Source organism: Homo sapiens, chromosome 2 (genome assembly GCF_000001405.40).
Source record: "Homo sapiens chromosome 2, GRCh38.p14 Primary Assembly".
Lineage (NCBI taxonomy): Eukaryota > Metazoa > Chordata > Mammalia > Primates > Hominidae > Homo > Homo sapiens.
This window is the reverse complement of record NC_000002.12, coordinates 55,127,754-55,153,316: the sequence shown is the minus strand read 5'-3', so window position 1 is coordinate 55,153,316 and position 25,563 is coordinate 55,127,754. Positions and strand designations below refer to the sequence as shown.

The window sequence follows — 25,563 nt, the reverse complement described above, 5'->3', positions numbered from 1 at the left end:
TGGCCTTTTGTCCCCTTCACTAACTGTCCCCAAATAGCTATATTTTTATTCCCCTGGGGCCTTTCACACTCTCTACTTTCATTTCTCCCTGTTGCCTCATGTTCTGTTGCTTCTCATCCATAGCCTTATTTCTCACACAGTAGGAGTAAGAACTTTGACATGGCCCTCCTTTTTTGAGAAGTTAAGCACAGGAGTCCCGCTGCTCAGAGGTCCTCTTTGTTTACTCCAGATTTCTTTGCTGTTTATGGTGGTGGGTGGAGGAAGATGGCGCTCACAGTTTTCCAGGTGTTACTGGAGTTGACATGAAGCAGAGTTGCCACTTGGGAAAACACCTTTTGGCCTGTATGAGGACCTCCCGGGTTATAGACGCCTCATACATATCAGAAGGCGAGGGCCCTTTACTTCTTGGTTTGCTACTGCTCTTATTTCTGCTTTACCAAGCAGCTGGTGGTTGGTAGAGCAACCTAAGCTTTTTCCCTGCAGTCTCAAGGGGGAAATATGACCTGTTTTGCCTTATGTATTACCCCTGAGGTAAGCAGGAGATGCCAACATGATACCACAGCAAAGAATCGACCACTCTGAAGTGAAATCTCTGAATTTCTGAGCACTTCCAAGGATGCTTTGGCAACCCTCATCATGCATGTAATTTCCTGTTTAATGCGATCTTTCACAACAGACTGTGAGCTTCAAGAAATCGGGACTGTGTCTTCTCACTGTAGCCCCAGTGCCGTCAAAGCGCCTAACATATCCTGAGCACTCAGAATAGTTGTTAGATTAAGTTTGAAAGGGCACTTCATTGACTGTCTCATCTGAGCAGCCCTGCGAGCATATTTAACAGACAGATATATCCTTTGGACTAGGTGTTTGAGCTTGAAGAAAGGTTTTTAGGGTGGCAAAATTAGTGCTGTCTCCTGCAAGGCTGATTGAAAAGTCTGCACCACTTTTCTGGTTTTCACCTCTGATTGCAGTCCCATCAGCAAGTGTCTACACTGTGCTCATACCCTTCTAGGTGTTGTGATGGCTGGAAACTCATTGTGAGATGTTGCTCTTGCCAAGAACAAGTGTATACTCCAGAGCAGGAGGCAGCTGCACTCTCATAGGCAAAGTATGATAAATACTCTTAAGTCTTGTGGGATCCAGAGAGGATAGACAATGTAGACCAGAACTAAGACTAGGACCTCCACAGTGGATTCTTAGATATTTGGGTGACACAGACTCTTACCCCTGCCTGTCTTTGGAGGACAGAGTCATTTGTACAGAAATCCCAGGTCATTTTCTTACTTGTTTATACTGAAACTTCTCTACTCTGGTCCTCTCTGTTGAGCTAGCTGCAGGCTTGGCAAAATAGATATTTGGCATCTTCCCATGTTGACTTCTTTTTCTTTTCCTGTCTCATTTTTCCACATTATTGTTTCCCTCTTTCAGCCCCAATATGTCCATTTTCTTCACATGCCCTTCTCCACCTGCCCAGGCCTCAGGCCTCCAGCCTCCCTTCCCCCTACATGCCTGTTGCACATCTGAATATGCACTGCCCAGGCAGGGACCTGCCCAACTTTCCTTCTACTCACTTTTTCCTAAAAACTAACTACCCGTATGGGCCTTCTCTTCTGGGCTTTGCTTTGCATTTTCTAAGATGAGACGAAATTTTGATAATGCATTTATTTGCTTGTCGAACATTTCCCTTTTTTCACATGGTGAAAGTGCCATGATAGGCACCACAGAGAAGGAATGTAATGAGGATCCACCTCTCCAGGAGCTCTAGGCCATCAGGAAAGGCCATCAGCGCTTATCTTTTTCTGAGAGTCTCCTAAGATTTACTTTGAAACTTAAGTTGAGTCCTAGGATTGTAAAAATTTCATGTATATTCATAATTATACACCAAGAGGGGAGAGAGTGGATGATCCTGATACCCTACATGGAGAAGGAACTTACTGTGGGGTGGAAGAAATTTACATCTCTGTTTATCCTGACCTTGAACAACCAGCTCACGGTTGGTGGGAGTAAGACATTGGAAGGTATTGTTCAATACTGTCTTGTCTAGTTCTGAGAATGCCTCAGTCATCTGCAGACAGAGCTATAAATACCAGATTTCTTTTTTTCCCATCTTTTCACAGGTGTTGAAAATATCAGACTTCTTTGGCAGATGGGAGGAGTCTTATAGGACTCAGGAATTGTCATCACTGGTGAAAAGAGATGCTTCCCCTTCTGCAATGAAAGACAGAAGTGAAAGCTGAGCTGTGAGACGTGGTGAGCGACAGGCCAGTGGGAGACAAGGCCTTGGTCTCTGCTGCCAGCAGCAGTGGGCTCTGTTGGTCTCCTCTTTTCACTAGGGGAAGTAGTGAGGGACCATAATTCTCTCTCTCTCTCTCTCTCTCTTTCTTTTTTTTTTTTTTTTTTTGAGATGGAGTCTTGCTCTGTTGCCCAGGCTGGAGTGCAGTGGCACAGTCTCGGCTCACTGCAACCCCCACCTCAAGTGATTCTCCTGCCTCAGCCTCCTAAGTAGCTGGGATTACAGGTGCCTGCCACCACATCTGGCTAATTTTTGGTATTTTTAGTAGAGATGGGGTTTCTCCATGTTGGCCAGGCTGGTCTCAAACTCCTGACCTCAGGTGATCCACCCGCCTCAGCCTCCCAAAGTGCTGGGGTTACAGGCATGGGCCACTGTGCCCCGCCTTTTTTTTTTCTTTTCTTTTATTAGTCACAGCTCACTGCAGCCTCAACCTCCTGGGCTCAAGCGGTCCTCCCACATCAACCTCCTGAGCAGCTGGGACTACAGGCATGTGCCATAATGCCTGGCTAATTTTTTGTAGAGATGGGGTTTCACCATGTTACCAGGCTGGTCTCAAACTCCTGGACTCAAGTGATCTTCCCACCTTGATCTCCCAAAGTGCTGGGATTACAGGCATGAGCCACTGCACCTGGCTTCATAATTCTCTTGAGCAGTGTAGTCATGGGGCATGTTTGGGAATAGTGGGGACCCAGTGTGGAGCTTGAACTTCTAATAACCCAGTGGTGACTGGGTGGAGAATCAGGAATCAAAGACCCGGTCGTATTGCCATTAATTGTTTCCCTGGGTTTGATGGGCACAGAAAACAAAGATTACATAAAGAAGAAAAAAACTATGGTTCTTGCTTTCGGAATCACAGTGTGATGGGGCAGTTAGGATAATTGACACACACATAACGGGAGTGAACAGAGGTGGGGCGATGGGAAAGGAGAGAAATGTTGTATGAGCAGAGTATGGCATTGGCCAACCTCAGTGATCTGAATGGGAAGAGTAATGTTGTGGCCTCCTTGGAAATCCTTTAAAGGGATGGATGGTGTTTGTTCCTCTTTGTGACATCCATGCTCTCAATATTGCTGATGACGCGATAAGGACTGAACACAAGATCTCTCAGATGGCAAGCTCCAGAGGGTACTTAATGCTATAGTCCAGTGTTTGTCAAACTTAAATGTGCACTGGAATCACCTGTACATGAGGGCTTGTTAACACACAGCTTGCTGGGCCTACCCACAGAGCTTCTGATTCAGTGGCTCCAGGGTGGGGCCCAAGAATTTGTATTTCTTTCTTTTTTGAGACAGGGTCTTGCTCTGTCGCCCAGGCTGGAGTGCAGTGGCATGATCTCAGCTCACTGTAACCTCTGCTTCCCAGGCTCAAGTGATCCCTCTCACCTCAGCCTCCCAAGTACCTGGGACTACAGATGTGTGCCACCACACCTGGCTAATTTTTGTGGGTTTTTTGTTTGTTTTTGTTTTGTGTGTGTGTGTGTGTGTGTGTGTGTTTTTGTAGAGACAGGGTTTTGCCATGTTGGCCAGGCTGGTTTCCCAAATCCTGGGCTCAAGAAATGTGCCCACCTCGACCTCTCAAAGTTCTGGGATTACAGGCGGGAGCCACCATGCCCCACCAAGAATTTGCATTTCTAACAAGTCCCCAGGTGATGACGGCCCAAGGACCACTCTTTGGGAACCACTGGTACAGTCATTCAGCAGCCAATAACAGTTTGGAGTAGGGAAGTAAGAGCTGTGCATTTATCATCTTTAATTGACCCATTTGGAGAGTCCATACTGTGTGAGAAGATAAGTAGGGGAAAAAATTTGTAAAAGACGGATTTAGCCCAAGCAGTGGCTCCATGTTCAGTGGTGAGATGGGATGAGAGCATCCCACTTTTCCCCTAGCTGCAGTGGGGACTAAGGGAGATGAACCACATAAACCCGTATTCCTCAAAGGAGAACACTGAGCACCAGAAGCTTTAAAATTATTTATAAAGCTCTAGAGCAGAATTTTTAACACAAAACATGCATTTCTTAGTGTCGCTTTTTCTAAAGACATTTATTATTTTAGTCATCAATGACCACAAGAACTGGTTTTCCATTCAGCCTTGTGATGCTCTCCTGTACATGTTCTGTGCTCTGGTTAAGTAGAAAAGGCCTTCCGTTTTCATGCCTTCCTGCCTTTACTCAAATGGCTCCCCTGCCTGGAATTATCTCCCCTTACCTACCCTATAGCCATTTGAACAATTCTTTACCCCAAAGCTTTGACTGCCTTAAATGCTGGCAGACGTGTTTCTGATGAGGGATGTTTTTCAGTTTTAGAAGCAAAGATGGCTATCTCCAATTATTCACAGGCCCATTAATCACCCTAATAGAACCCCAGGAACACTGAAGGCTTTCTGCAGGTGACAGTATGCAAACAGCCTCTAATCAGCACATAGGCTACCTATCATTTGCTCATTGTTTCTTGTTTCCCTTCTGGGAGCCTCCAAAGGCAAGTGTTGTGACAGAAGAGGAGATGATTCAGTCCAGACCTTATGGGAAAACAGGATATGAAATTCAATACCACCGATGTGAGCAATAAACAGTAAAGACAACCTCTATTTAAATGGCATGAATCTTGATAATTATCTCTTGGAGTATCTAGCCTCTCAATCTGAATGCATCCTCAAGATGTGAAACACATTCTAATATTTTAAGCACTAGTCTCATAAAACGTGCATACTCTAACTGCATGATGTTCTCAGCAATACATTCACTTTTGCCAAGGTTCATGTGTTCAAATGACCGCCTGCATTACAAAGACTGCAAACAAATTTGAAGTAAAAATTCTGAACTCTTAGCTGGTCTCTGCAGTGCAGTGATCAAAATGGTGTCCACCAACGTGACCCCTACTGTCTTCAAGGTGTCACTCATTAGGTCTTCAGCCATTTGAAGGTAGAAGTTTGGGTTTGAGTCACAATGTCACAATGTATTAGCTTTGCAATTGTGGGGAACCAGGCCACCTTTTACTCTACAAATGGATGATAATGGCTAACATCTAACATGTCTTGTTTCCTTTCCAGGGCCGTTGTGGAGATCAACTGAATCATGGATCTCTTTGTAAATGGCAAAGCATAATGGAAATGTTAGTTAATGTTATTATTTTGATCACTCACTTCTTGCTGCCTATTCCAAAGCCAGAGACCTTACTGTTTCACCTGACAAACTGAAAGGTTTTTTTTGTTTGTTTTTGTTTTGTTTTGTTTTGTTTTGGAGACAGGGTCTTGCTCCGTCACCTGGGCTGGAGTGCAGTGGCATGATCTTGGATTCTAATCTCTGCCTCCTGGGCTCAAGCGATCCTCTTGCCTTAGCCTCCAGAGTAGCTGGAACTACAGGTTTGTGCCACCACACCTGAACTAATTTTTGTATTTTATGAGACAGGTTTTCGCCATGTTGCCCAGGCTGGTCTCAAACTCCTGAGCTCAAGTGATCTGCCTGTGTTGGCCTCCCAAAGTATTGGGATTACAGGCATGAGCCACTGCACTCAGCCTGAAAGATATTTCTTATGTTTATTTCAAAAATTACTCAGTTAGTCCTGGATTATAACCCAAGGTGGCTGGGGTTTGGTTGGAAATGGGCACTGGCTTTCGGTTGTGATATTTATTTGAGAGGTGATTAGGACATGGAAAGACTTAGGAAGGACAAATTTGATTCAGGGCACTGACTTTCCCGGTGTGATCCTTAGGCAAGTCTCTTTGTTTATAGAACTGTGGGCTCTTTGGATTGGAGGGACTAGGGCTTTTGGATTAGCAGTGAACTAGTCTAGGATTTCAAGCATTTCAGAAATCCATACCACGGCATCGTGACAAATGTCTTGCTTGGATACCTCTAGAGTTCCATGGGCTCTTCCCCTCAGAAGCTCATTTTATTTTTTGATATTTCCAATTGTTGGAATATCCTTTCAACTTTTGAGCCAAAATTGGCCTGTTTTACTTCCAATTGCCGATGCTCCTTGACTTACAATGGGGATATGTGTTCAACCCATTGCAAGTTGAAAATATCGTAAGTAAAAAATGCACTTAATACAACCAACCTACCTAACATCACAGCCTAGCCTAGCCTACTTTAAACATGCTCAGAACACTTACATGAGCCAACATTTGGGCAAAATCATCTAACACAAAGCCTATTTATAATAATAAAGTGTTGAATATCTCATGTAGTTTATTGACCACTGTACTGAAAGTGAAAAACAGAATGGGTGTATGGGTACTTGACATACAGTTTGAACCAAATGCATATCGCTTTTGCATCATAGTCAAAAATGGTAAGTCGAACCATTGTAAATTGGAACATCTGTGTGGGTCTTCATTCTTACCTCTGAGAGAACACACTGAAGGCTGCTCCCTTCTTGATATGACAGGGCTTTCTGCTGGCATAATACCCAGCTAGCATGCTTCTAACAGGTCTTCTCTTGTTTGAATTAAACATACCCTGGTTTTGTAACTGTGTTTTGTTGATATGGTTTCCAAAACTGCCTCACAATCCTGGTTCCCTCTTCTGAATGAGAAGCATGAATGTTTGTAATGTGGTTGTTGGGGTAATAATAGACAGGCAGGGAGTAACTAGGTCTTTGATGGTCTTGTAATTCAGCAAACTTTCCCCCACCCCCACACCACACCCTTACTGCAGCACACAACTACAAGAATTCAAAAATTCAAACCCAACAGTGACTGTGAACGTCCAGCATTTCAAGCCTTCAGGAAATCAATACAGTGACATCGGGCTACAAGGGCAGCCTGATACTGTCTGATATGCAGGATATATTCACTTGATTTAGTTTCTACTGATCATTGCTTTATTTAAAGTGATAGAATTCTTCCCATTAATTCCATACAAATGTGTACAAATGTTTAAGCAGAGATGGTGCAGGAAGTTGGATGCAGTGATGAAGCACACAGGCAGACAGATCCAAGTTCAAATATGAATTTAAACTTTGGCACTTTACATCTTGGAGTCTCCATTTTCTGACTTGTAAAATGAGGATGATGATTCCTGCCTCATGAAGTTGATGTGAGGACTAAATGCACTATTTTCAAAACAGAGCCTGGATTACAGTAGGTGCTTATGAGTGAACTCTGATGTTCTTTTTTTGTTTTTTGTTTTTTCTTTTGAGGCAGAGTCTTGTTCTGTCACCCAGGCTGGAGTGCAGTGATGCAATTTCAGCTCACTGCAAACTCCACCTCCCGGGTTCAAGTGATTCTCCTGCCTCAGCCTCCCGAGTAGCTGGATTACGGGCGTGCGCCACCACGCCCGGCTAGTTTTTGTATTTTTAGTAGAGATGGGGCTTCACCATGTTGGCCAGACTGGTCTCGGACTCCTGATCGCCCTGGCCTGCCTTGGCCTCCCACAGTGCTGGGATTACAGGCATGAGCCACCGCACCTGGCCAACTCTGATGTTGTTAGCAAATTAACTTACTGTGTTTACCTTCTTCCTTCCAAAGCAATCCAGGTAAAGGTGTTAAGTCATTCTGGTGTGGTGGTAAGAGCCCAGAAGAATCTAAAGTGGGAGTTGGCAAAGTTCTCTTTTTAAAAGGCCAGATGTGATTACTTTAAATTTAAATAGCCACGTATCTAGTGACTACTGTAGTCAACATAGCAACTTTAGAGCACATGAATTAGAATTGTGACATGTAAGGCTAAGCCCAGTCTGTGGACTGAGTGACAGACCAGTGGGCAATTGGGAAACATTTCAGGTTTTCCAACGGAGAATATTAAGAGCAGAAATGTGGAGAATGCCACAATGACCAGTCACTGACACCCTCATGCAGGGTAGACAGGAATTTCAGAAAGCTTTGTGGATTATACAGACCCTGCTGCTACTACTCAGCAGTAATATTTGAGTGCAAAAGCAGTCATAGACAATAATGAAATGAATCAGTGTGGTTGTGTTCCAATAAAACTTTATTTACAAAAACAGGCAGCAGGCTGGATTTGACACACAGGCCATAGTTGTCAACCCCCAATCTAGAGTCTTATTTTCTTTCTTATTTTCTTAAAATTGTGGTAAGAGCATTGATATAGTTTGAATATTTGTCCCCACTCAAATCTCATGTTGAGATGTAATCCCCAATGTTGGAGGTGGGGCCTGGTGGGAGCTGTGTGGGTCACGGGGGTGTATTCCTCAGGGCTTGATGTTGTCCTTGAGATAATCAGTGAGTTCTCACAAGATCTGGTCATTTGGCCACGTGCGGTAGCTCATGTCTGTAATCCCAGGACTTTGGGAGGCCGAGGTGGGCGGATCACCTGAGGTCAGGAGTTTGTGACCAGCCTGGCCAATATGGTGAAACCCTATCTCTACTAAAAATACAAAAATTAGCTGGGCATAGTGACACGTGCCTGTAATCCTAGCTACTCGGGAGGCTGAGGCAGGAGAATCGCTTGAACCTGGGAGGCGGAGTTTGCAGGGAGCCCAGATTGTGCCATTGCAGTCCAGCCTGGATGACAAGAGCGAAATTCCGTCTCAAGGAAAAAAAAAAAAAAAGAAAGAAAAAAAGATCTGGTCACTTAAGTGTGTGATGCCTCCTCCTGACTCGCTCTCTCTTGCTCCTCTTCTTGCCAGGTGACATGGCTTCTCCTGCTTCACCTTCCACCATGAGTAAATGCTCCCTAAGGCCTCCCTGGAAGCTGAGCAGATGTCAGCACCATGCTTCCTGTAAAGCCTGCAGAACTGTGAGCCATTTAAACCTCTTTTCTTTATAAATTACCCAGTCTCAGGTATTTATTTACAACAATGCAAGAACAGCCTGATACAAACACTTAACATAAAATCTACCGTAACAAATTATTAAGTGCACAATACAGTATTGTTAACTATAGTCACGATGTGGTACAACAGATCTCTGGAACTTGTTCATCTTGTGTAACTGAAGCTTTATCCCCCTGAATAACAGCTACCATTCCCTGAGCCCCTTACAGCCCCTGGCAGCCACCATTCTATTCTCTATATGAGTTTGACTATTTTAAATACATCATGTAAGTGGAATCATGAGGTATTTGTCTTTCTGTGACTAGTTTGTTTCACTTAGCATAATATCCTCAAAGTTCATCCATGTTGTCATGTGTGGCAGGATTTTCTTCTTTTTCAAGGCTGAATAATATTCCATTTATATTCATACCACATTTTTTTTTTTTTTTTAGACAGAGTCTTGTTCTGTCGCCCAGGCTGGAGTGTAGTGGTACTATCTTGGCTCACTGTAACCTCTGCCTCCCATGTTCAAGCGATTCTTTTGCCTCAGCCTCCTGAGTAGCTGGGATTACAGGTGCATGCCACCACACCCAGCTAATTTTTATATTTTTAGTAGACACGGGGTTTCACCATGTTAGTCACAGGCTGGTCTTGAACTCCTGGCCTCAGGTGATCCACCCACCTCAACCTCCCAAAGTGCTGGGATTACAGGTATGAGCCGCCGTACCTGGTCTCTTACCACATTTATTGACTCATCTGTTGATGGGCATTTAGGTTGTTTCCATATCTTGACTATAATAATATAATGATAATGCTGCAATGAACATGGGAGTGCAAATATCTCCACCACATCTTGATTTCAGTTCTTCTGGATAAATACCTAGAAATAGGACTGCTGAATCATCTGGTAGTTCTATTTTTAATTTTTTAAGGAACCCTCCATACTGTTTTCCATCAGGGCTCTACCATTTTACAGTCTTAAGACCAGAGTACAAGGGTTCCAATTTCTCCACATCCCACCAACACTTGTTATCTTTTATTTTTTTCATGGTAGCCATCCTAATAGGTGTGAGGTGGTTAGAACCTTATTTTCTAATCTCAGCCCTGGGGACTTGCTTCTGCTGCATTCCTTTTTCCAAGAGCATCTTTCTCTCACCCCAGGGGGTTCTAGGATCCCTTCAGGGGTCACCTGGGCACATAGCCCCAAATCCTGTCTGAAGATTTGCTTCAAGTAGTTTTGGCTTCTGGAGAGGCAGGGAGCTCTATCCACCATTTTTGAGAGAGATGGGAGAGAGAATGTGTGCAAATCCTTTGGGGGAGGCCCCCTGAAGACTTTATTATTGGGAGCAAAGTACCTACGTCCTGTGTTTCCATTTGATCATCTGTTAGGTGTGCAGTTATATGCCTCCATGATACCCCATATCATTGGTTTGTAGCATTTAGATCAACTATAATTATTTGTGTGATCATCAGTTTAATGTCTCCCTTCCTTCTTTCCCTCTACCCCTCAAGAAAGCGCCCTGAAGGTAGGGCCATGTTTGAATTGCTGTGCATGGCTGTATACATAGCATCTAGCAGAGGGATCGACTCAAGATACACACTCAGCAATAAATACCTGCTAAATGATGAATGTAAAAGTTCAGTCCCTCAAGTCATCCAGAGAACTTTCTCAGATTACATTCACCAGACTTCTTCTTTCTAGCACTGTGAGGGAAAAGTTTGATTTTCAACTGTTAATGGACTCTAAACCTGAAAAACAAAACATATGTTATAGTGTTGGCTTTGACCAAAGGCCTGCCACCTCTGGCCTCAGAAGTTTTCTTGGTAACTATAACTATAAGCTGGAAATAAAAAGCTGTTCTGTTTATTTACACAATTGGCAACGATTTATTGGAGGGAGATAACATTAAGAACTTCAGGAACACTTCCTTTGAAACTTGGAAATAGTTATTCATTCAATACTTTTTTAAATCTCTTTCTCAGAGAGTATAACTTTTTGTGCCTGGTGTGCCTTCTTCTTTTAAGAATCTTTTTTGTTTTTGTTTTCAAGACAGGATCTCACTCTGTCACTCAAGCTACAGTGCAGTGGCATGATCTTGGCTTACCTCAGCCTCGACTTCCTGGGCTCAAGTGATCCTCCCACCTCAACTCCAGAGTAGTTTGAACTTCAGGTGTGCACCACCATGACACGCTAAATTTTTTTTCTTTGGTAGAGACGGATTCTCACTATGTTGGCCAGGCTGGTCTTGAACTCCTGGTCTCAAACAATCCTCTGCGACCTCCCAGAGTGCTGGGTTTACAGTTGTGAGTCACCCTGCCCAGCCTGGTGTACCTTTTTCTGATCTTTTGTTAACTGAGGGTTTTTCCTCTTCCTTCTACAATGTAAACATTAACAGCAGCAGAAGAAAGTGAAGTGCCAAATCCTGTATTAATACACCAGTTGTGGAAGTGCACTCACTTGAGCAGTCTCAGAGTGGACAGAGTTAGCTGACCTTCACAAAGCGGGACAGCAAAGTCCTGGACAGAAAAGGCCACTGGGAGAGTTTCCTGGGGCTCAGCCAGGCTGCTGTCTTGTTCACACCCCCAGGAGGGTAAAGTGCTCTGGGTTATCCATAGCTCACTCAGTAGGGGTAAGTGAGAGGAAGGGGAGGTGAGCAGGAACAGACATATTGATGACGGGGCTCATACAACGTGATTTTGTCATTCCAGCCACCTGGTGTCCTCCGTGGGTTTCGGATCCCAAGCTAATGCCCCCTTTTCCCTACTATAGCAATGTTGAAGGCCCCTTCAGCACCCCTATTGCCCTTCATACCATAATTTGGCTGAATAACTCCAGTCCCCACCTTGTCCCATGAATTCTCAACAGGTTTCAGTAGGGGTTCAGTGTGGTTTCCTGGTCTTCTCCCTTCCCCTTTGCTTGAGTGATGTAGTGGGTTGAACACATCCCCCCACAAAAGTATGTCTAAGTCCTAACCCCTGGAACCTATGGAGGTAACTTCCTTTGGATAAAAAGTTCTTTGCAAATGTAATGTAAGGATCTTGAGGTCAAATCATCCAGGATTTAGCCGGGCACCGTAGATCCAAGGACACCTGAAGAAGAGGAGAGGACACACAGACCCAGAGGAAAAGGTTATGTGAAGATGGAGTCAGGAATTGATGAGCACCACAAGCCAAGGTACAGCAAAGATGGCCAGCAGCCACCAGAAGCTAAGAGAGAGGCATGGAACATGTTCTCCCTCAGAGCCTACAGAAGGAGCCAGCCCTGACAACACCTTCACTTTGGACTTCTGGCCTCCACCAAATGAGAGAATAAGTTTCTGTTGTTTTCCGCCACCCAGTTTGTTAATTTGTTATGGCAACGCCACGAAACTAGGAGAGTATAATTTGGAAAAGATCTTTAAGATCCGCCACCCAGTTTGTTAATTTGTTATGGCAACGCCAGGAAACTAAGTGAGTATAATTTGGAAAAGACCTTTAAGACCTGAGTTGTTATCTACCCACGTTGTCTTTTCAACAGCATTGTGTAAGCTGATGCAACCAGGACTTGCAGGTGTTGAGGAAGAGTGCTAGGTCATGTGTTGTTAACCATCAGCCCCTAAAGCCAGTGGCTGTTCATGGCAGATAACACCTCTCTTATTCTTATCACCTGAGAAAATGAGAGAACAGCCATGCAGCTTAGGGACCACTCAGCTGGGTGGGGAGTGGGTGGAAAGGGCAATCATTTGAGCAGGGTCACAGGACTTTCCTCTCCCCACTTCTTTTTGCTTAGCACATAAGCAGGAAAAGAACAGTGTCCCTGTCCACAGCAGCCGCCACCAGTTAGACTGCAAACACAATCCTTTTCTTTTCTTTCTTTCTTTCTTTTTTTTTTTTTTTGAGACAGTCTCACTCTACTGCCCAGGCTGGACTGCAGTGGTGTGATCTTGGCTCACTGCAACCCCTGCCTCCTGGGTTCAAGCGATTCTCCTGTCTCAGCCTCCCAAGTAGCTGGGACTACAGACATGCGCCACCACGCCCAGCTAATTTTTGTATTTTTAGTAGAGACGGGGTTTCACCATCTTAGCCAGGATGGTCTCGATCTCCTGACCTCATGATCTGCCCGCCTTGGCCTTCCAAAGTGCTGGGATGACAGGCATGAGTCACCGTGCCCAGCTGTCCTTTTCTTAAATGATAGAATTTTCTCTATGGGGCAAAGCAATGCAACATTCACAATCAGAGAAAAGAAATCCTCGCACCCTCACTATTCTCTTTGGTCTTTTCCTCTCCCAGGCACCAGCCCTTTCACCTGATGTCAGAGCAGCACAGCTGAAAGCTGTAACCTGGGTGAGGTGGAGGGCGACTAGCAGGCATGCGCAGGTGAGATCCCCTGGGGCAGGCCTTGAAGGGCCAAGGTGGGGCATGGCTCGCTTTGGCTGTTTTGGTTTTCAAAATGTTTAAATGCTGAAAGTTCATGTTGGTAGTTGGCATGTAAGGATCTTAATTTGTTCTGTTCATTGCAAAAAAAATTCTCTCATTTTACAATAGAGATTTTTGGCAGTCACTAAATGGTGCAGTGCTATTGCCTCAGTTAAGACATTTCTGTCAACATATTTATGCCATGTATGGTTGCTTTTGTGTCTCTCATTTCATTTGAGTCTCCCAATAGCCCATGAGAGGAGTAGAGCAGGGATTATTACCCCATTTTAAAGGGAGAGAACTGAGGCTTATGAGGCTTAGGGGATGGATAGTGGGAAAATAGGGGAGAATTTCAAGCTGGGGGAGGAGCCTGAAACAGCCAAGAAATCTTCGTGGCTAGAGAGCAGGTCATGTGGATGAAAGACATGGGGGAACGCTCTGTGATTTGAAGAGGTGCCTGGAGAGGCAGCTGGGGGTGACTGGGAATGCTGACCAAATGGCAAGAAAATGAGAGAAACCTGTAGTTTGTGAGCAGAGTGTCCTTCCTGGAGTCTGAACATTCAACAAGAGGTGAACTTGGGGAAACCGTGTCTCCTTAACCAAATGACTGCCCAACGTAATGATGCTTCATGATAATACAATGGATGAACTTTGTCCTCTGCCATGAAGAGTAGAGGCGGGTACTCTTTATTGTACTTTATGGCAGTGTGTCATTGCATCGTGGGCCTGGCTATCAAACGGGGTCCCCCTATACAAGGCAGCATTTTGGGAAGTTGGCTCTATTGGGCACCAGGAGGCCTGAATTAGTGGATGTGACCGTTGGGTTATTAGCCCGAGCGGCCCTGAGCTTTGAGAGGAGGAACTTGGTACCTCAGCAGGAGGCCTGTCCTCAGCTGGTCTGACACATCACATTTGCTTTTTGATTTGCACACATAAAATGAATCTCCCCAACAACCCTCTCCCCAAAGCCTCATCAATTATAACTGCTTTTGTCCTTAGCATCCTTTTGTTGACCAGCTTGGAAATTAGTTAGAAGGAAGAAGAAAGGGAAGTTGTCTTTGCGGGTAGTGGCACTGGAGAGCTGGCTGCTAATGAAGGAGTCCTGAATGGTGCGATTGTGCTGCTGTTTATATAGTTTTTATTTTAATTTGCATCCGTACCAGGCTCGAATCCCAAGAGTCATTCAGCCGTGTTTGGAGCTTTTATCTCCTTCCATGGAGCCAATTCTGCCAGCTTATCATTTGCCTCAAGGAAATTAATGTGGCTCTCCCCTCCCTTCACTTTTATCATGTGCTGTTGAATTGTTTATACATCCATGGAGAGAAAGAAAGACTCTGCAGAACCGTAGAAGGAGGTTTCTCTCCTCACGTTGCTGGCTCATCTGAGACTCCTCTCTCTGGTTAAAAGGCTTGTAGAGCCAAGGTCTCAGAGAGCAAGGATGGAAGGGAAGGGAGGGGGTCACAGCATCAAAGGCCCAGAACTCCTGCTGTTTTTTTCTTGTCTCCATATAGCTGTTTTCCTCTTCGACAAAGTAAGCCTTCCCTACGACTTTCAGAATAGAGAGCAATGATTATATCTGGAAAGATCTGGAAAGACCTCTTCTCACCACTGTATTGGGTCAGAAATCCTGGTGCATGCAGGGGGCTTTGTCCTTGGGGCCCCTCCCTCATCCTTATCTCAGCTTTCGTAAGGCAATTCCTGCCAACTTCAGATTACTTTCAAATCTCTATCTCCGGCAGTCCGGTTCCAGAAATGAAAAGACTTAGATGCTGCCCTCAAGGAGTCATGGTTTGGTGGGCATGAAGGAGGTTATAAAAGGCAGTGTACAGTGTGCCCCAAGGTGCAGAGGAGCTCATGGGTCTAGAGGCCTCAGGGAGAGCTTCTGGAGAAGGAGCCTCCAAACCATGCCTGGAAGGGGAGGAGGCTTTTCAGTCTAGGTCAAGCTGTGTAACCAAGCACATAGGCTGAGAGGACATGAGGATGGAGGGACATGCACTATTGCGGTGTGGGGAGGGGGAGGGGCGGTTGCGGAGCGGCAGGGGGGTCAGTAGGGGGAATGGGGAGAGCCGCTGGAGTGCTCTGGGCTGGCAGGACCACGCTGCACAGGCCTGCGGCAGGTTCCGCTTGCCCAGAGCTTTGTGCCCATGTGAAGGGAAATGAGATTTCAGGCTACAGCTGAGAGGTCGGAGGTGGAGAGAGCGCCATGGGGGAGACTGAGCTGGTAGAAGACACTCAGGGAGTTTAACTCTCTCTGTGCCAGCAGTGGGGTGGTTGGTCTGGACAGGTTGAGGGGGCACCTGTGGGGAGGCTGTAGTCAGAGTCCAGGCAAGAGAGGCACGCATCTACCCAGGAGCAGCAGCCGCCGTGATTTCAGAATCCAGCCCTTCCACATGACTCCCATCTAGTCAGTCACCATTTCCTGCACAGTCTGCTTCCGAACGCTCCGGAATTTAGTCCCTGCTGTCTATTCCCACTGACGTGGTCCAGGTATTCGTTACTCCTATGTTCTCCTAAAGTGTGGTTCTGGTCTGGCTCTTTCCTGACTCCGTAGCGTCACTGCATAGAGGTCACCCTCAGCACGGCATGGCTGGCCCCCTCTCTGGCCTCCTTTCCAGCCACCCCCATTTCATGCCCTCCTCTTCTCATGCCCTCCTCTTTGCTCTTAGTCTCCAGTTCCTGGAAGCTGCCTTGCCCTGGGGCATTTCAGTTCCTTTTTCTGCATTTAGAAACACTCCCTCTACTCTGCTTGGTGAATTCTCATCCTCTAAGATGTAGTTCAAAGATCATCTCCTGGGAAACCTTCCTCAGCTCCCCAGACGGAAGTGCGTGCTTCCTCCTCTGCCTGGCCAGAGCCCTGTCTTTATGCATCTCTCCCTGGCTTCTCCTGTTAAATTCTAGGTGATGGTTTATGCGTCTCTCTCCTCCGCAGGACTGCCAGTTCCTTGAGACTGTACCTGGTAAAAGGCCAGTCTGGGGGACAGAAATGGGTCTCCCCAGGCCGTTCACCTTTGTAACAACAGCTCCCCACTCTGTACCTGGCCCAGGGTATTGATTTGCTGAATTCAATTAAGTAGGCAGTCTGCCTGACTCAGGGAAGTGGACAGCCTGGAAGAGAATCTAGATGTGCACTGTCCAATAGAAATAATGCGAGTCAGATTTAAAATTTTCTAGTAACCTCATTTTTAAACAACGTTAAAAGAAACAGGTAATCAAATGTTCATAGCTACTTTATTTGCAGTAGACCCAAACTGGAAACAAACCAATGCCCAGCAAGAGGTGAATGTATCAGCAGCAGTGAATCCATATGGGTCTGTGGCAGCTTGATTCTTGCCGCCTCAGGCGAAAGAATTCATCTGAGGGACATAAGGTGTGGTGAGAGACTCTTCAGAGCAAGAGTGAAAGTTTATTAAAAAGTTTTAGCGCAGGAACAAAAGGAAGTAAAGTACACTTGGAAGAGGGCCAAGCGGGCGACTTGAGTCCAAGTATGCTGTTTAGCCTTTGACTTGGGGTTTTATAATTGGCATGGTTCTGGGATTTGTGTCTCTGCTCCCCTGATTCTTCCCTTGGGGTGGGCTGTCTGTATGCACAGTTGCCTGCCAGCACCTGGAAGGGGCCGTGTGCACAGGTGTTTATTGAAGTTTTGCACATGCTCACTTGAGGTATTCTTCCCTTATCAGTTGAGTGTTCCTGGAGGAAGGTTATAGACCAGTGAAACTTTGCCCTGTTGCTTCTTAGTGTACATGCTTGAGCCCACTCACCCAACTTCTGAGATCTTATCAGGAAGCGGCTGATCACCAGCTTTAGGTGTTTTCTATCTATTGGGAGACTGCCTTTAAGCTCTGGCACTGGCTGTGACCAATTATTATTTTAGAGAGACAGTTTAACAACCACCTGCTGGTCACCTAACATGCCTGGAGGTGGGGGCCCTCTCCTGCCTTGCTCATATCTGCCTAGCTAACTGCTCTAACAAGTGGATAAACAAACTATGATATATAATAGAATACTACTCAGCAATAAGAAGGAATGAACTACTGATACATGCAACAACATGAATGAACCTCACAATAATTAAACTAAGTTAAAGCAGTAAAAAATATATATTACTGTATAATTTTATTCACATAAAATTCTAGCAAATGCAAACTCCATATGCAGATCAGTAATTAGGGATGGGGGATTGGCAGGAAGGACTACAGCAGGGCATGAGAAAACTTTTTGGGGTTGACGGAGATGTTCATTATCTTAATTGTGATGATGGCTTCATGGTATTGTATATACACATGTCAAAACTTACCAAGTTGTGCAGTTTATTGTGTGCCAATTATACTTCAGTAAAGTGTAAAAAAAGAAGCAGAATGATTTAAATGTTTTAACACCATATATTGAAAATGTTATCTTTTAAACGTATAATTGAGGCTGGGCATGGTGGCTCACGCCTGTAATCCCAGCACTTTGGGAGGCTGAGGTGGGCAGATCACTTGAGACCAGGAGTTTGAGACCAGCCTGGCCAACATGGTGAAATCCCATCTCTACTAAAAATACAGAAATTGGCCAGGAATGGTGGTGTGCACGTGTAATCGAGCTACTCAGGAGGCTGAGGCCTGAGAATTGCTTGAGCCTGGGAGGCGGAGGTTGCCGTGAGTCAAGATTGAGCCACTGCACTCCAGCCTGGGTGACAGAGCAAGACTCCATCTCAAAAAAAAAAAAAAAAACCAAAAAAACAAACATATAATCAATATAAAAATTACTAGTGAGATTTTAAAACTATTATTTTTGTGCCATCTTTGAAATCTTATGTGCATTAAAAACATTTTTTTAATAGAAATGGAGTCTCACTATGTTGCCCAGGTTGATCTTGAACTCTAGGCCTCAAGTGATCCTTCCCCCTTGGCCTCCCCAAATGGAATTGTAGGTGTGAGCCACCATGCCTGGTGCTATGTGCATTTTACACTTACAGCCCAGCTCACTTCCGACTCACATTTCAAGTGCTCAACAGACACATGTGACAAGTGGCTACTATGTTGGACAGCAGAGATCTAGACCCTCTAGTGAAGCCCCGATCAGAATTGTTTCCTCCTCAGGACTGGGCAAACCCTGAGTAAGTAACTCCTCGCATTTACTTCTGAAGCGGTTTTGAGTTGCCTCAAGAGCCCTTTTCGGTGGGCCCAAAAAGCTTGGGCACTCAGGGGGCTGCAGGTCAGAGGCTGGCTCTGGAGAATTAGATTATAAACCTAGAACTCTGTGTAAGCTCCCACCTCCCGCTTCACCCACCCTTTCTTCTTCCTCATTTAAACTTGAAGAATAATATTCTCTTTGCATATTTGCTTTCTGAGAACAGCTGTTTATGTCAGGAAGCAAACTGCACTTTATTGACTGCATGCAGGAAATTGGTGCTGCTCTGAGCTAAGGTGAATGCCTGCTGGGTGGGCATCAGCCTCTGAGAGATGGAGTGAGTCTGGGGGCTGTCTCTGGACTTTGGACCTGGGGGAGTCTTATTACTGAGTGGCCTTGGACCCCACACAGACCTTCTCCAAGTCTAGGATCTGCTTTCCCATTTCCTCAGCTTCTGTCAAGAGGTCAGGAGGAGTGGGGGGAAGAGGGGAATGCTGATGGTAGTGAGATAGGAGTTCACAAGATACAAATCATAAAGACCCCACAGATAAAACAGGATGCGGTAAAGAGGCAAGTGAAAATCAATCAAAACCCACGTGACCACAAAAGCAATCTCTGGTTGTCCTCTCTGCTCGTTATACACTAATTATAATAAATTAGCATACTAAAGGAAATGCCCACTAGCGACATGACAGTTTACAAAAGCCATGGCAACCGTCTGGAAGTTACCATATATGGTCTGAAAGGGAGAGGAACCCTCAGTTGTGGAAATTCCCCACCCCTTTCCCAGAAAGCTCATGAAAATCCACTCTTTGTTTAGCATGTGATTAAGAAATCACCATCAAAATAGCCAACCAGCAGCCTTTGGGGTTGCTTTGCCTGTGGACTCTCCACCCTTTCATTCCTTTACTTAATAAACTTGCTTTCACTTTGCTCTCTTGGCTCGCTCTTCCTGTTTGGAGCCAAGAACCCACATGACTTCCTGGGCTGAACCCCAATTTTGGGGTTCACCCTGTGACATCTTGACAAGCAGTGGCTTTATCAGCCGTGTGGCTGCTGGGTCTCCTTAGGGGTTATCTGGCAGGGGCTATGTTAAGGACGGTGAGAGCTATTTATGGTTCTGTCACTTAACCAGCTCAGGGTCCCTAACTAAGTTTCCCTTCTTCTCAGGGCCTCAGTTTCTCCCTCCATAGAATGGAGGAATTGGACTAGACACCTCAAGGGTACCTTACAGCCTTGTGAGGAACAGTAGTTCTAACGGAATTGAACTGAACACATACCGGTGTGGGCAGTATCCTGCATAAGGAGGAGGTTACAAGAAATACACATGACACAGTCCTCCCGTATTATTGGGAAGTAGATTTATACCTTTCTGACAATTTTTACAAGTATTTATTGCTTTTGCAAGTAAAAAAAAGGCAGGGAGAGGGAACAAATAAACTGAAAAATAAAAAGTAAACAAGCAAAAGACAACACCGCATTCTCCATGATGTGCTTATTTCACATTGCATGCCTGTATCAACACATCTTATGAACCCCATATATAAATATACTTACTATGTACCCACAAATTTTTTTATTTTTAGTTTTAGTTTTTTGAGACAGAGTCTCAGTCTGCTGCCCAGGTTGTAGTGCTGTGGCGTGATCTCAGCTCACTGGAACCTCTGCTTCCTGGGTTCAAGTGATTCTCCTGCTTCAGCCTCCCAGGTAGCTGGGATTACAGGCACCCACCAGCACACCTGGCTAATTTTTGTATTTTAGTAGAGACACGGTTTCATCATGTTGGTCAGGATGATCTTGAACTCCTGGCTTCAAGTGATCCACCTGCCTCGGCCTCCCAAAGTACAGGATTTACAGGTGTGAGCCACCACACCCGGCCATGTTTTTTAAAAATAATAATAATTAAAAAAAACAACAACAAAACTGGAGAGTGAGAACTAATTCCTAAAATGATCGGTATATTTATTTTTAATTTTCAATTTTTTTTTTTTTTTTGAGAGACGGTCTCACTCTGTGGCCCAGGCTGGAGTGCAGTGGCAAGACCTCGGTTCACTGTAGCCTCCACCTCCCATGCTCAGGTGATTCTCCCTCGTCAGCCTCTCAAGTAGCTAGAATTGCAGGCACATGCACCATCATGCCCGGCTAATTTTTGTATTTTTTGTAGAGACAGGGGTATACCATGTTGCCCAGGCTGGTCTCAAACTCCTGGGCTCAAGCAGCCTGCCTCCCTTGGCCTCCCAAAGTGCTAGGATTATAGGCATGAACCATCACTCTTGCCTTTTAATTTAAAAGGTTTTTTTTTTTTTGAGACAGAGTCTCACTCTGTTGCCCAGGCTGGAGTGCAGTGGCACCATCTTGGCTCACTGCAACCTCTGCCTCTTAAGTTCAAGCAATTCTCCTGCCTCAGACTCCAGAGTACCTGGGATTACAGATGTGTGCCATCACACCCGGCTAATTTTTGTATTTTTAGTAGAGACGGGGTTTCGCCCTGTTGGCCAGGCTGGTCTCAAACTCCTGACCTCAGGTGATTCGCCCGCCTCAGCCTCCCAAAGTGCTGGGATTGCAAGCATGAGCCACTGCGCCTGGCCGAAAAGTTTCAAACACACATAAAAGTGGAGAGCATAGTGTAATGAATCCCCATATTCCCATCACCCAGCTTCAGCAATTAACGTACTGCCATTCTTGTTTCACCGATTTCCTCCAGCTTCTACTTTGTTTTGTTGCCAGTTCTAATGTTTTTAAAGCAAATTTCTGGTGTCACATCATTCCCCCCATAAATACTTGAGCAGATATTTAACACATAAGGACTTCTGATAAAACATGGTATACCATTAGCACAACCAACACAGTTAACAGTAATTGTTAAAATATCATGTAATAAAAAAAGAAATATGTAATAATGTTTTCAGATTTTATTATTTTTTTGAAATGGAGTCTCGCTCTGTTGCCCAGGCTGGAGTGCAATGGTGCCATCTTGGCTCACTGCAACCTCCGCCTCCTGGGTTCAAGCAATTCTCCTGCCTCAGCTTCCCAAGTAGCTGGGATTACAGGTGCACACCACCACGCCCGGCTAATTTTTGTATTTTTAGTAGAGACAGGGTTTCACCTTGTTGGTCAGACTGGTCTCGAACTCCTGACTTCAGGTGATACACCCACCTCGGCTTCCCAAAGTGCTGGGATTACATGTGTGAGCCACCGTGCCCTGCCAATGTTTTCAGTTTTTCTGATATCTTTTACCACTGGTTTGTTCAAACCGGTAAAAGAATGTTTGGGGCTTTAAAAAGTATTAAAAAATACTTTAGGCTGGGTGCAGTAGCTCACGTCTGTAATCCTAGAACTTTGGGAGGCCCAGGAGGAAGGATCACTTGATTCCAGGAGTTAGGACCAGCCTGGGCAACATGGCAAAACCCCATCTCTACTAAAAATACAAAAATTAGCTGGGTATGGTGGTGCATGCCTGTAGTCCCAGCTACTCAGGAGGCTGAGACAGGAGGATCACTTGAGCCCAAGAAGTGGAGGTTGTAGTGAGCTGAGATTGCACCACTGCACTCCAGCCTGGGTGAAAGGGTGAGACCTTATGTCAAAAAAAAAACCCAAAAAACAAACAAAACTTGTTAAAAGGAGGATCACTTGAGCCCAAGAGGTGGAGGTTGTAGTGAGCTGAGATTGTACCACTGCACTCTAGCCTGGGTGAAAGAGTGAGAACTTATGTCAAAAAAAACCCCCCAAAACAAACAAAACTTGTTAAAAGTATCATCATACAATACGTAGTGAATTAAGTGCTTGTTTTTCCTTTGTACACTGAAGACAGATGGGGGCCCAGGACTTTTGCATGACTCTTGGACATCTCTGTTCCAACCTACTATTAGGAGAGTGGTATTCATTACCTTCCTAATACCTTCTTTTTGTTGCTCTAATCTTTCTTTGTCTGGATCATCTTCTTGAGTTTTTGCAAGCCACCTCCCTTCATGGCAGCTCTTGAATCAGTCAGACATGAACTGAAACCCTTCTGTGTTACTTGATAGCTCTGTGACCTCAGGCAAATTACCTCTCAGAGCCTCAATTATTGTAAAATTTGGCAAGATCTATTGTAAATGTGGTGAGATCTTGACTTACTGCAACCTCCACCTCTTGGGTTCAAGAGATCCTCCCGCCTCAGCCTCCCAAGTAGCTGAAAATATAGGCATGCACCACCATGCCTGGCTAATTTTTGTATTTTTCGTAGAGATTTTTGTATTTTTTGTTGTTCCGGCTGGTCTCGAACTCCTGGGCTCGAGCAGTCTGCCCACATCACCCTCCCCAAAGTGCTGGGATTACAGGCGTGAGCCACCACACCCAGCCCAATGTGATGTTTTAATATATGTATACATTGTGAAATGATTAACACAATCAACCTAATTAACATATCCATCACCTCACATACTTTTTTTTGGCCATCTTAGTATGTATTTTTCCAGATGTATTTCTATTTACAAATACTTGTATGTCCTATAGAAATGTATGGTTTAGTGGGGAGTGTACATGTTTAAATATAAACATAAACATTGTGCATATTGTTAAACAATTCACTTTTTTCACTTAATACATCTTGGAAATTTTTCCATGTCAGCACTCAGTGAACAACGTAGTCTTTCTAATTGCTGCATAATATTCCTTAATATGACTGTTCCATAACTTATTAAGCCATGCCTTTACTAGAGGACATTCAGGTTGTTTTCAATTTTATGCCTTCACAAACAATTTTATAATTAGCATTTTTGTACATGCTTTTTCAGGCACATGTGCAAAGTATTTCTCAAGGTTAGACATTAGAAGTAGAATGTAGGATCAAAGAGCATGCACATTTTAAAATTTAATGCAACCTAATTGTCCTCCTAACTTCCAGTGCTGGGCATTTTTAGTCTTTCTAATTATTCCTACTCTTTTTTCTTTTTTTAAAAGACGAGTTGACCGGGCACGGTGGCTCACGCCTGTAATTGCAACACTTTGGGAGTCCGAGGCAGGTGGATCACGAGGTCAGGAGCTCAAGACCATCCTAGCTAACACGGTGAAACCCTGTCTCTACTACAAACACAAAAAATTAGCTGGGTGTGGTGGCAAGCGCCTGTAGTCCCAGCTACTCGGGAGGCTGAGGCAGGAGAATTGCTTGAGCCCGGGAGGTGGAGGTTGCAGTGAGCTGAGATAGCACCACTGCACTCCAGCCTGAGCGAGACTCCATCTCAAAAAAAAAACAGTCTTGCTTTGTCACTCACCCAGTCTGTGTGCTGTGGTGCAATCATAGCTCTCTGTAACGTTGAAACTCTTAGGCTCAGGCAATCCTCCTATCTCAACCTCCTGAGTAGCTGGGACTACAGCTATGTGTTATTACTACCAGCTAATTTTTAAAGTTTTTTTTTGTAGAGAGACACAGTCTCTCTATGTTTCCCAAGCTGGTCACGAACTCCTGGGCTCAAGTGATCTGCCTGCCTCGGCCTTCCAAAATGCTGGGATTACAGGTGTGAGTCACTGGCCCAGACTAATGGTTGCTAATCTGATGAGAAAACAATGATAATTTAGTATTTAAGTGTATTTATATGTTTACAGTGAGATTTGGCATATTTTCCTTTGCTGTTGGCCATTTGTATTTCTGCTATTGTGAATTGCCTCTTTATATCCTTTGCCTCCCACCCCCTTTTCTTTTTTTTTTCTTTTTTTTTTTTGAGACGGAGTCTTGCTCTGTCACACCTAGGCTGGAGTGTAGTGGCGCGATCTCGGCTCACTGCAACCTCTACCTCCTGGCTTCAAGCGATTCTCCTGCCTCAGCCTCCCGAGTAGCTGGGATTACAGGCGCCTGCCATCACGCCTGGCTAATTTTTTGTATTTTTATTAGAGACAGGGTTTCACCGTGTTGGTCAGGCTGGTCTCGAACTCCTGACCTCAGGTGATCCACCCATCTCGGCCTTCCAAAGTGCTGGGATTACAGGCGTGAGCCACCGTGCCCAGCCCTCTCTCCCACCCCTTTTTTTTTTTCTTTTTTCTTATTGAATTGTAGGGATTGCTGGTATACTGAATATTAGTTCTTTGCTTGTAATACCTGCTTCAGATATTTTAATATGTCACTTGTCTTTTTAACTTTGCCTATATCTTTCATTGTTCTGAATTGTGAGTTGCTATGTTGCCTGGGTTTTTAATCCTTTTATCTTCCTGGCTTGTTTTTGTGCCTTTCTTAAGAAGGCCTTCCTTATCCCATGGTTATAAACATGTGGAAACCATTTTTAGGTTGCAGTGAGTTGGGACTGTCCCCAGGGGACAGAATCTGGTAGGCCTTCGGGACTTAGGAGAGAAGCGCAAGTGGAGTGAGTTTGCTCTGGGGGTCTAGAACTCCACGTTTTCCTCATCGGAGAGAGCAATGCACAGAAGCCATGGCTGCATGGATGGTCACCATGACCAGAAGCAAGTCTAGAGAGAGAGCTTTAAGCTATTGCTGTTGTCTTCCACCCTAGGAGGGTGCAAAAAAAATGTGAGGCCACCCTGAAGGCCCAGTTTTTGGAGAGTTCCATCCTTTCCTTGCAATTTCCTTGACACAGCAGTCCCAGAACAATGCAGATAAGTGTAACAGGAGTAGTTTTGAGGACATGCTCTGTCCTCAAAGGCAGCTGCCATGTAGTGGAAAAAACAGTCACAGTCCCAGTGCGGTGGCTCATGCCTATAATCCCAGCACTTTGGGAGGCCCAGTAGTTTAAGACCAGCCTGGGCAACAAGGGAAGATCTCGCCTCTACAAAAAATAAAAAAATTAGCCAGGCATGGAAGAAAACTTAAGCCCAGGAGGTCGAGACTGCAATGAGCCATGATGGCTCCACTGCACTCCAAGTCTGGGGAACAGAGGGAGACCCTGTGTCCAAAAAAAAAAAAGCCATCACAGAGAGGTGTGGTTCTGATGCCAAACACAAAAGCATTTATCATTACAAGGTTTCACTGAAGTATCTGCATTTGTAATGCACCATGCTAGGTAGGGTGTAGAAAGAGTGATTCTGGGGGAATGTCTGTTCTTTTAGAAATGGCCCCCTCCACAGAG

At 44.9% G+C, this 25,563-nt stretch overlaps 1 protein-coding gene across 1 annotated transcript in view, besides 5 other annotated features; it reads left to right on the top strand.

Moving 5' to 3' along the window:
• Positions 2,332-2,381: an enhancer, noted in NCBI's record as "active region_15775". NCBI's record gives its function as "activates an Ori minimal core promoter by ATAC-STARR-seq in GM12878 lymphoblastoid cells {active_cell/tissue: GM12878}" and the evidence as "EXISTENCE:reporter gene assay evidence [ECO:0000049][PMID:35858748]".
• Positions 12,306-12,889: a transcriptional cis regulatory region, noted in NCBI's record as "candidate enhancer chr2.2087 targeted for multiplex CRISPR interference". NCBI's record gives its function as "positively regulates RTN4 gene expression with high confidence in K562 cells {active_cell/tissue: K562}" and the evidence as "EXISTENCE:mutant phenotype evidence [ECO:0000015][PMID:30612741]".
• The window catches only part of RTN4 (reticulon 4), a 165,643-nt gene continuing 155,565 nt past the window's right edge, over positions 15,486-25,563 (top strand). Inside the window, exon 1 of the mRNA NM_001321904.2 lies at positions 15,486-15,883. The gene's annotated coding sequence lies outside the window, so the exon portion shown is untranslated. The remainder of the gene's footprint in view (positions 15,884-25,563) is intronic.
• Positions 18,745-19,657: an enhancer, noted in NCBI's record as "OCT4-NANOG-H3K27ac hESC enhancer chr2:55360796-55361708 (GRCh37/hg19 assembly coordinates)". NCBI's record gives its function as "activates a minimal SCP1, AML or CMV promoter by ChIP-STARR-seq in naive H9 embryonic stem cells {active_cell/tissue: H9 hESC(naive)}" and the evidence as "EXISTENCE:reporter gene assay evidence [ECO:0000049][PMID:30033119]".
• Positions 19,130-19,424: an enhancer, noted in NCBI's record as "tiled region #647; HepG2 Activating DNase unmatched - State 4:PromP, and K562 Activating DNase unmatched - State 5:Enh". NCBI's record gives its function as "activates a minimal TATA promoter and a strong SV40 promoter by Sharpr-MPRA in HepG2 and K562 cells {active_cell/tissue: HepG2 | K562}" and the evidence as "EXISTENCE:reporter gene assay evidence [ECO:0000049][PMID:27701403]".
• Positions 19,254-19,443: an enhancer, noted in NCBI's record as "active region_15774". NCBI's record gives its function as "activates an Ori minimal core promoter by ATAC-STARR-seq in GM12878 lymphoblastoid cells {active_cell/tissue: GM12878}" and the evidence as "EXISTENCE:reporter gene assay evidence [ECO:0000049][PMID:35858748]".